Source organism: Homo sapiens, chromosome 12, assembly GCF_000001405.40.
Source record: "Homo sapiens chromosome 12, GRCh38.p14 Primary Assembly".
In the NCBI taxonomy this organism is placed as follows: Eukaryota; Metazoa; Chordata; class Mammalia; order Primates; family Hominidae; genus Homo; species Homo sapiens.
Window position 1 is genome coordinate 83,815,603 of NC_000012.12, and position 11,820 is coordinate 83,827,422.

General features: G+C 38.6%; 1 annotated feature.

Moving 5' to 3' along the window:
* Window positions 3,348-3,642: a silencer, noted in NCBI's record as "tiled region #9787; K562 Repressive non-DNase unmatched - State 24:Quies". NCBI's record gives its function as "represses a minimal TATA promoter and a strong SV40 promoter by Sharpr-MPRA in K562 cells {active_cell/tissue: K562}" and the evidence as "EXISTENCE:reporter gene assay evidence [ECO:0000049][PMID:27701403]".

An 11,820-nucleotide genomic window follows, 5' to 3' on the forward strand; every position in this document is an offset into this window, starting at 1 on the left:
TTATAGGAAGTCAATAAATAGAGAACCCACAGAGAGAGTGCTGGCTTTCACTAGAGTGATGTGGCCTGCTAGTAAAACATGAAATGATGAATGTACTGAAATTCAGGACAAATTCATTATTTTATTGTCTGGGGATAGAGATGATGTGAGACAGTAAATAAAAGAATATATTGGCTGGGACGGAGGCTCATGCCTGTAATCCCAGCTCTTTGGGAGGCCAAGGCAGGCAGATCATTTGAGATCAGGAGTTTGAGACCAGCTTGACCAGCATGGTAAAACGCTGTCTCTCCTAAAAATACAAAAAAAATAGCCAGGCGTGGTGGTGCATGCCTGTAGTCCTAGCTATTAGGGAGGCTGAGGCAGGAGAATCTCTTGAACCCAGGAGGTGGAGGTTGCAGTGAGTGGTACCACTGCACTCCAGCCTGGGTGACAGAGCAAGATTCTGTCTAAAAAAAAAAAAAAAAAAGAATATATGGAAAAAAAAAATCAAAAGTTCTTTCCATTGGTTTCTCCTGAGGCCTCTCTCCTTAGCTTGCAGAAAGCAGCCTTCTCACTGTGTCCTCACATGGCCTTTTCTCTGTGCCTGTGCATCCACACATCCTCTCTTCCTTTTCTTATAAGGACATCAGTCAGATTGGATTAGAGCCCACCAGAATAACCTCAATTAACTTTAGTTACTTCTTTAAAGGTCCTATCTCCAAATACAGTCATATTCTAAGGTAATTTGTATAGAACTATATTGGAAATGGGGACACAATTCAATCTGTAACAAAGGGGCAGAATTTTGAATAATTTTATTTGAGGAACAGAAATGCCCCTTTTCCTTTCCAGCTAAGATGGAGAATACTAACCTGAATACATGCTTCAAATAGCATTCATTCAAGGAAGGCATGCAAGCCCCCACGTGTTTGGTTATCCACAAGCTCATCCAAACTCTATCATTTTGGGCTACTATGAAGGCTTCATTAAGTAGGCATGATTGATTAAATCACTGGCCATTGGTGATCAACTCACCCTTGTTTCCCCTAACAAGACAAATCCTAGTTCTATTGCATGATAAAAATTGCATGATGCAATTTTGAAATAATTGTTTTTATTAGTAAAGCACTCTGAAAAACAAATCAATGTAAAATCTATCTATGCCTAATGAATTTTTTTCCAAAAACCTTAAATGGTTAAGGTGAACAAGAGGTTAGGAACATGATTCCTATATGGCGGAAGTAAATGTATAACTAATGTTTTAACCTAAACAGAACGAAAACTTCATCTAGCACATAGTAAATAGTAATTTTTTTGGTTGATGATAATGAAATGGAGAAAAGATAGAAAAATCAAGTTGACATAGTAGAAATATTATTAATTCATTTAGTTTATTTATTTATTTTTTCTAGAGACAAGGCTTTACTCTGTTGCCCAGGCTGGAGTGCAGTGGTGAAATTATACCTCACTGCAGCCTTGAACTCCTGGGCTCAAGTGATCCTCATTCTATAGCCTCCTGAATAGTTTCCATTCTATTTAAAATATATAACTAGATATCTCACAAATGCTTCAAACTCATCAGTTTTCACCTATACCATATTTACTCCTTCTTTGAAATTCAGTTTCTTGCAAAATGTCATCCCCATTCTCTCTATCATACCTGACAGGAACTTAGGAGTCATTATTAACTTCTCAAATTCACACTTCCAGTCACCAAATCCTTTAATTTCTACCTTCAGAAAACTGACTTACTTATGTTTCTTTATCTCCATGCCCAATGATACTGTTTTTTGTAGACATACATATATAAATATGTATAGATATATAGATATTTAGCTTGTTTTACTCTATTTTACCAAGCTGTTTTACCAGCCCCATCTCTACCACTCTCCTACCAATTTCCCAGTTTGTTTCCAGAAAGATCTTTGTAAAATACAAATCTGATAATACCAATAATTAACAAATGTTTTGTCTTTCATCATCTGCAGGATGCAACTGAAACCTCTTGAGAGGACATACACATCTTTTGACCCTGCTGCTGTCTACATTTCTGACCCCTGTAATTGCCAAATATGCATATATTCAAGTTATACTAAAATATTTTATAGGTTGAAACCTTATGTTTTATATGTTAATCAGTCTGCCAAGAGACATACCTGTTCTCTTTTTCACTCCTGGCTACCTCTTCCCTGTCCTTCAGAATGAAAGTTTCTCCCCCATAGGAAACTCTTCTCATTACTACCCCTCTCTTTCGGACTTAAGTACTTGCCTACTTTATTCCTCTAGCAACCCATATATAGCTCTACCACAGGATAAACACTGTGCCATCATTGTTTGCTCACTAATTCTAATGCCTATCTAGAATGTGGATTCCTTGGACTCATGATGAATGTCTGTTCTTATTTGTTTGCTTATACTGCTTTGAGTAGAAAATAAGTTTTTCCCACTCTCTTACAACATGTTTCTAACACCCAATGTGTAGAGATTTCCCCCAGCAGCAAGCAAACAATCAATTCTGCAGTAGATACCAACTGGGTGTCCTCTAAGTCAATTTAATTTCTGACACCATCTACCTACCTACGTGGGATAGTGACAGATCACACAGATTGAGGACTCAGCCCTACAGGACTGGCCCCATTTCTGATGCCAGTCACAAGCCCCAGGTTATTTTGCCTGTGCTTCTGAACAAATGGCTATAATTTGGGGCTCCCACAGCTCCCTCCCTGGGTTTGATTAACTTGCTAGAGTGGTTCAGAGAACTCAGGAAAACACATTTACTGGTTTCTTACAAAATATATTTTAAATAATACCATTAAACAGCCATATAAAAAGATACATACGATGAGGTCTGGTACAATCCTTAGCACAGAAGCTTCTGTCCCATGAAGTTGAAGTGCACCACTCTTCCTGCACATGAATATGTTTTTCACCTTCCTGGAAGCCCCCACGTGTTTGGCCATCTGAAGCCTCATCCAAACTCTATCATTTTGGGCTACTATGAAGGCTTCATTATATAGGCATGATTGATTAAATCATTGGCCATTAGTGATCGACATACCCTTGTTTCCCCTAACAAAACAAATCCTAGTTCTATTGAATGATAAAAAATTTAAATTCTAGGTTTCAAAGCTCCTAGGCAAAGAGTGTAGAAAATAATCCCTTCATTATAATGAACAAGTAAAATAAGCAGGTCTTCAGTGGTGGAATTTTGGGGTTATTTAAGAGATGCTCATAAATTAGAGGCCTGCTTGGATTTGACAAATATTATACATAAATGCATAGTTAATGCATTCTTTTTGGATACTTAACTCTTTTAGTTACTTATTGGTATGTACAAATCACCAAAATCTCAGTCACTTACAGTAACAATTTCCATTGATTATCTGTCAGAATTCTCTGGGTTGGCTGGGCTTAGTAGGAGTAGTTTTGTCTGATCTACATAGCACTGGCTGGACTACTTTGATTTAGAGGCTTGGCTGGGGCTGGGCCAGTCAAGATGACTCATTTATGTATCTTGCTGCTGGTGCTGGCTTTTGTCTGGGGGTTTAGGTAGGGTTGTTGAGAGAGCTTCGGCTTGCATAATAAGAGTAAGATAAAAAGATGAGAAATATGTTTTTAAGCATTAGATTGTGGAGAGCTTGAATGTCATATTGAAGAATTTGACTTTTAATTATTGAAGGATGATAAAATACATTAAGTAAGAGATTGATTTTTAAATTTGTTTCCTTGCTATTTTTTACTGAATGGAATTTTAGTGACTGGATAAAAGTTGCATGAGAGTTAAAGGAAACACTTAGGATGCTATTCATGTGCCAGTTGAGAGTTTATAAAAGATGGAATAAAACAGTAACATTGGTTAGAGACAAAAAGCAAATTTGAAAGACGTTGATGATATAAAATTAATAGAACTTGATTAATTGCCTTGGGGAGAAAAGAGAGAGATCACATTTGAGGATGACTTTGAAGCTTCGAATTTGGGGATTTAGATGATTCTGACATTATTCATGGAGTTAGGAAACAGGAAAAGTAATAAACTTTCTAGGGAAGGTAAAGAGTTCAGTTTAGTTTATATTAAGTCTGAGGTGGCTTTAGGGCATCCAGATACTTTGAAATATGGCTTTCAGCATGAAAGAGAATGAGGGAATAGAAATACAGATTTTACAGTCATCAAAAATGGACTTTGGAAAATAGCATTACTCAAAATGAGACTGGCACGGTTCTATATTATTGTAGGATTATAAATAGGCTCAATGATATTGTCAAAGAAATTAAATAGCATGAGAAATGCTCCTATTAGAATAAGTAGGGGAATGTATCCTAAGCCGGATATGTAATATGTATTTAACAATTGTCTTTCAGTTCACTGGAATACTTTGAAATGGAAATTTTGTTTCCCCTGACAAAACAAATCCTAGTTCTAGTGCATGATACAAGTTTGAATTCTAGGTTCAAAGTTCCTAAGCAAAGAGTATTAGAAAACTATCTTCATTATAATTAACAAGTAAAATAAGCAGGTGTTGAAATTACAGTTTCTCAAGCTTAAGAAATAAATCAGGATGGGGCCATTAAATTGTCTTTTATGGAGATAAATGCATTATTTAGTAACACAGGAAAATGGCTACATAATGTCTGCCTCCTTTTGATCTAAATCACATACAGTCAGTGTGGATAATAAAAATTTATTTGTATAAGTAAATTGTACAGTACTCCAGGCCTACTTCGTTTCTAGTTGGTCTTCGTATTAAACAGAATGTAGATATTTAAAGATCCAATGAAAATATAACAACAGGATTTTCTATTCTAAGTATCAAAGTAACCACTGAAGGAAGAAATCAGATTTTGATTTATTCTTTTTGTAAGTAGACATTTAATGATCAATTCAAAGGTTAGTAATAAGAGACCCAGAAACCATTTTTTCTTTTTTTTTTGGATATGGATGCTCGCCTGTTGCCCAGGCTGGAGTGTAACGGCACGATCTCGGCTCACTGTAACCTCAGCCTCCCAGGTTCAAACAATTCTCCTGCCTCAGCCTCCCAAGGAGCTGGGATTACACGCTCCCACCACCATGCCCAGCTAATTTTTGTATTTTTAGTAGAGACAGGGTTTCACCATGTTGGCCAGGCTGGTCTTGAACTCCTGACCTCATGATCAGCCTGCCTCGGCCTCCCAAAGTGCTGAGATCACAGGCATGAGCCACCGTGCCCAGCCTTGCAGAGAAATTTTAAGCAGTGCTTCCTCAAGAATGTTGATACAATAGCCTGGAGTGTTTATAGCAAAGGTCAGAAAAAACTTTTGTAATATTCCACATAATACCTGCCTAGAAGCCAGGGATTGATTGTAACACCAGCACCAACCCTCTAGATGGAAACCAAAGTTTTTACCTGTTATAATAATAGCACTTGTGGAGAGATAACATAAAATAAATGCAACAAACGACAAAAATGAAATTGTAAAAAGATTAAAAAATTTTTACATGACAAAAGCATGTAAATATATCTAAAAAGTACATGTCTAATGTTTTTCTATTCCTAATCTATTTGTTATCATTATATAACAAACTAGTATGTTTTACAGAATATTATGAAATTACAGAAAAGCATAAAGAATAAAAGTAGTCACTCATAACCCAATATTAAAAGGAAAGCTCTATAAATATTTAGGTATATAAATATGTATCACATACTAAACATATGTATCTATGAATGTATACAATTTATATTTTATAATTTAAAGAATCACCAATGTTATGAGCATTTTTCTGTGTAACTAGAGAATGCATTTATCTGCAGAGAGGTCAGTTTTATGGCTCCTTCATAATTTATTTCTTAATCATGAGAAATTATAATATAAAATTATTGGATGTCAGGCAGTGATATAGTAGTATACGGAAGTTATCAAATAAACAGTCCCTAGAACTGAACAAATATATTAAAACCAAAATGAAGATAAAATGATTATAGGATGTTTTTATGCAACAGTAATTAGATAAAGTTGGTGGGAGGAGGGAGGATAGGTGCAGAGAGCTTAGGTAAGGAAGGACTTTCAAAGTCACACTTACTGAATACAGATTTTATCCTGAGGGCATGCTTATATACAGAAGCATACTTTAATAAAATCAATGCTTGTAAAAGATTGATCAAGTAGTCTTTTGTTGTGGGAATAGAGTGAGGAAATAGTGAAAACAAGACTAGTAAAGAGGTTATTGTAGGAACCCCTGCAAAAGATGAAAGGAATAGTGATGTAGAGAATGGAAAGAAAGGACAAGATTTGCTTCAGTAGCACATATACTAAAATTGGAACAATATAGAAAAGATTAGCATGAACCTTTAAAAATAAAAAAAAAAACAGTACTAGGAGAATTGTTTCAAATAGCAGTTACATACCTGAGTCATTCTGATCAGAGAAAACAAAACAAAACAAACAACAAACATTACCTAGATTAGGAACAGAAAATTTGAAGCTATGGTAACACTCTCAACTCAAAACTGTGGTGGCTACTTGGAGTATAAGAAATGATTCTGTGTTGCAATTCTGAATAGATAATAGTGCATTTAACTTTGCAAGAGTCATCTGTAACATCAGAGCCTTGAGCAAGAATAAGCTTTCTTACAAATAAAAGGAGTAAATAGCAAAATTTTTGGACCACATCCGAGGGAATGTCCACAGATAGGAGGGCAAGAGGATGAAATATAACCAAGGAGAGAAGAGAGAAAAGCAATAGCAGCTGGATTTGGGCAACAGTATCAAATTATGGATAGGAATAAAATAATGAGAACTGGAAAACCTGTTGCACATGAAAAAAACTTCTTGGAGGATTTTCAAGAAGGCAGTTTCCTGTAATATGGAAGACTAGAGTTGGTCCACAGATTAAGGAGAATAATGAATTTCCTTATATGTCGTCACTCAGACTAAAATAATGACTAAAGGATGGAAAGTGGAGAGTAGCTATATAAGTCAGTAGGTGGGAGTTGTTTTTAAAAAGGAGTTAATGAATACATTTGAAAAGAAAGATATTAGCCAGGAGAAACCCTTCCTTCTCCATTCACTTTTTTTTTTATTGAAATTTACCTTGAGAATCTGGAACCCATATTTCACTTAACTTTTGACCCTATAGCCATCTCTAGGATATATGGAAGACAGAATACAGAGTGAGTGAGGTTAGCAGAGGAAAAAGCAGGCACATTCATACTATCTGCAAGGAGCTACACATTTATATATCACACCATTCTGGAAATTTCCTGGACATTTTTTTGGTCTCCTATGACCACTCCAATTTATTTTAAAATGTTTTTGAAATTTTAATAGCTTTAAGGGTATATAAGTGGTCTTTTTGGTTACATGGATGAATTGTATAGTGTGAAATCTTGGATTTTAGTGCAACCATCACTTGAGTAGTGTACATTGTACCCAACAGGTAGTTTTTCATCCCTCATCTCTCTCCCACTCTCCCCTCTTCTGAGTCTCCAATGTCTATTACACCACTCTGTATGCTTTTGAATATGCATAGCTTAGGTCCCACTTACATGTGAGAATATGCAGTATTTAGTTTTCAATTTGTGAGTTACTTCACTTAAAATAACAGCCTCCAGCTCCATCCTAGTTGCTGCAAAAGACATTATTTTATTGTTTCTTAGGGCTCAGTAGTATTCTATGTTGTGTGTGTGTGTGTGTGTGTGTGTGTCTACACACTACAGTTTTTTATCCACTCATCTTTTGATAGGCGCTTAGGTTGATTTCATATATTTGCAGTTGTGAATTGTGCTGAGATGCACATGCAGATGTCTTTTTGATAAGTGGTTTCTTTTCCTTTTGACAGAGGATTTTTCTTGACCACTTTGCCAGCCTTGCTTGGGCCCAGGCTCATGGCAGGAGATGCCCTGTCTACTTGGCCCACTGGGCCGCACCTGGCTTACACTCCAGCACAGATCCAGTGACCACCACAACTTCATACTCAGCCTCTGGCAGGAGTGGGTGTGTGAGCAAGTGAGTGCAGGGTCCAGCCGGCTGTTCTAAGTGCCAGCACAAGAACAGGCTCTGTGTGGGGCTTGTGGTTGGACCAGATGTGTCACAAGTGTCTTCCATGGTGGACTCTGACATCCATATGAGGGTTGCCTGTGACCTTGATGCCCTAGATAGGGTGTTACGGCATGCTAATTAGCTCTTTTAGTCCACACGTCTACAGCCCGATAGGCGGCAGTGTGTGAACAACTCAGTTCTGTGATTCTGCTCTGGCCTGCAGCTCCATGGCTGGCTTGGCCCTGCCTCTGCTTGCCATTATTGTTTCCCATCGTGTGGGGTGGCTGCCCTCTGCTGGAAAGGGCCACAGTGTTACAACCTTCTTTGTACCTGAGTTTGGTGGGTCAAAAGTTCTTGTCCTACATCCAAGAAGAATGAATTTATGTTGAATTGAAGGATGAGGAGAGCGGAGAATAATTTTATTGAGCAACAAAATTGCTCTCAGCAGAGAGGGATGTGAGGGTGGTCAGCCACCTGAAGTCAGGTGGTCTGTCTTTCTGTGTGGCAGGGTCTGGAGGTTTTATGGGCTCAGAATTGGAAGTGTGTGCTGATTGGCTTCTGAGTACGCAGAAAAGGCTAAAACAAAGGCATTATTCAAAGGTGGGTAAGACAGTGCAAAAAAACAATTAGGGAAGGGTAGGTGTATGTAAACCAGGTGAAAGGTGAGGATCAATCAGAGGAAAGCACACAAATCAGGAACAGAAGTTCTCAGTCAGGTCTGTGGATTTGACTTGTAGCTTGACTTTCAGACTTTAAACGTATCTTTGGCTTGAAAGGGGGTTTCACCAGGGACCAAGCCCTATCTGTCTATGGATTTCTCTGCCTCCTGCAGCTATCACTTTGGGTAGATATTCAGTAGTGGGATTGCTGGAGTGAATGGTAGGTATATTTTTAGTTCTTTGAGAAATTTCCGTAGTGTTTTCAATAGAGGTTGTGCTAATTTATATTCCCACCAGCAGTGTATAAGTGTTTCTTTTCACCTTGTCTACACCAAGATCTATTGGGTTTTTTTTTTTTTGACTTACTAGTAATGGTTATTCTGGTGGGAGTAAGGTGGTATCTCATTGTGGTTTTAATTTGCATTTCCCTGATCATTAGTGATGTTGAACATTTTTTCATGTTTCTTGGCCATTTGTATAGCCCCTTTTGAGAAATGTCTATTCATTTCCTTTGCCTGCTATTTAATGGGATTTTTTTCCCCCTGTTGATTAATTTGGGCTCATTGCAGATTCTGGATATTAGTCTACTGTCAGAAGCATAACTTGTAAATATTTTCTCCAATTATGTAGGTTGTCTGTATACTCTGATGATTATTTATTTTGCTGTGATGAAGCTTTTTAGTTTAGGTCTCATTTATTTATTTTTGTTTTCATTGCATTTGATTTTGGGGTCTTAGTCATAAATTCTTTGTGTAGGCCAATGTCCAGAAGAGTTTCTCATAGGTTTTCTTCTAGAATTTTTATGGGTTCAGGTCTTAGATTTAGAACTTTAATCCATCTTGAGTTAATTTTTGTACATGGTGAGAGATATGGATTGAGTTTCATTCTTCTACCTGTGGCTGTCCAATTTTTCCAACATGATTTATTGAATAGGGTATCCTTTTTCTAATGTATGATTTTGTATGCATTGTCAAAGATCAGTTGGTTGTGTTTGGCTTTATATCTGCATTCTCCATTGTGTTCCATTGATACATATATATCAACATTTATAACAGGTACCATGCTGTTTCGGTTACTATAGCCTTGTAGTATAATTTGAAGTTGGGTAATGTGATACCTCCAGATTTGTTCTTTTTGCTTAGAATTGCTTTGGGTATTGGAGCTCCTTTTTGGTTCTGTATGAATATTAGGATTGTCTTTTCTATTTCTTTGAAGAATAATGCTGGTATTTTGATAGGAATTGCATTGAATCTATAGATTGCTTTGGGCAATATGGTCATTTTCATGATATTAATTCTCCCAATCTATGAGCATGGGATAAATTTCCATTTGTTTGTGTCATCTATGGCTTCTTTTAGCAGTGTTTTATAGTTCTTCTTGTAGAGATTGTCCACCTCCTTAGTTAATTATGTTTCTAGGTACTTTATTTTTTGTAGCTATTATAAAAGGAATTAAATTCTTGATTTAATTCTCAGCCTGATCATTGTTGGTGCTACTGATTTGTGTACATTGATTTGGTAACCTGAGGGCTTGGAATGGCAGAGGTCTCAGTGTTGATCACTTTTTTTGACATTAATTTTCCTCAATATTTTATTCACTGGGTTGAATATTTCAGGTTTCAGGCCAGTAGGAGGTGCCTATAGGTAAAAACCAGCTCTGTCTAAAGCAGGTGGGTAAATGCAATACTCCAATGGTGAGCAGAGGTCCTAGCCTTGACAGAGGCAGCTGGGGAAGCTCTCAGTGAAATGCACTGAGGTCTTTTTAGGGGAAAGGGAGGGAGTCCCCACAGCTCTCCTTCCAGGCCAGCAGGAAAGGAATCTGCCTCCTGGTCACACTCCTGACCTGGTGTTCTGGCTATTTAGATCAGAAAAGCACCTCTTTTCATCTGCAGGAATACTGATGTTCCTGTAGAGAGTGATTGTGATTTTTACCCCTCATGCAAATCCTAACCTGGAGAGCACTCCTCCTGTGGGAATGCAGTTACCCTGAAGTGTTGCATAGACTGCAGGTTGCATGGCTACAGGTGCAGTCATGATGAGCTCCTGTAGGGGGAGCCCCAATTGTGTTTGCAGTAGTGAGAGATGGGGAGAAATAGTCACTCTCCATTACTTTTCATGTGTACCAGGACTGCCTGACTGTTGGGATAGAGACTCCCCCCACTGAGCCCAGTGTACCTGTGCCTCTGCTGAAATAAACTTCCCACAAATGGAAAGATCTAGGACTCAAGGCCTGCAGTCTGGTTTCTTTTGTCCCATGGGTTTCTTCCCTAATGTGGTGCACTTTCCCTTCCCCTAGGAGTAGAAGTTGCTGAAGACCAGACTACTGTGAATCCTGCTGCTCCTCTGAGTCTAGCCACCCAGTGGAGCTGCCACACTTGGGCTGGTCCTGGGGCATGTCTGCAAGGTATTCAGTGATGTGACCTGCCCTCTAGTTTCCCAGCAGTGGGAACCAGCACCAGCTGTCATGGAGGTGTGAGAGGAGTGGCATAGATGCTGAGGCTTCCTTTGTTGTGTATAGCCTTAGTATGTTGGCCTTCTCAGATGCCAGCTGTAATAGTAACATACTGGGTGTGTGGACAGACTGAAGACTTTCTAGTTATTAGCCAGGATGATGCAGGCAATGGCGATAGCTGAGATCATGCAAAAGTTTTCTACTTCCTGAGTGCTGTGTTATTTTATCTACAGATGCTGTAATGGGCTATGCAGGTTGGCCTCTAGCTAAGAGGTGGCATTTGCAGAGAAGCATCACCAGTAGTGGTAGTGGTGGAATTTATGCTTACCTTATGTAACCAGGGGAGTACTCTGATGTTTCAGGAAATGGCTGGGCCGTGGAGCTCCCAAACGTCCCTGTCTTTTGTGTTATGCTACCAGGGCAGGTACAGGGGCTAATCTGGGTGGGGGCTGGGTCAGGTAAGTCTGTACTCTGGTTCTCCACACGTGGACACTAGCAGTGGCCCCATTGGGTATTAGAGGGCAGTTGCTGGCTGTGGCATAATATTCCAGGGAGGAGTGCAGCTGCCTCTGTTACACAAAAGAATCTGCATGGAGTGGGAGTTGGGGTAGCAGGCAGCAGTAAGCCCACTCAGATTCCTTGGCAAGGCAGGTCTCACACAGAACACACAGTGTTCTGTTAGCAGCAGCTGGCTGTGTTCCGGCAGCCTCTGCTC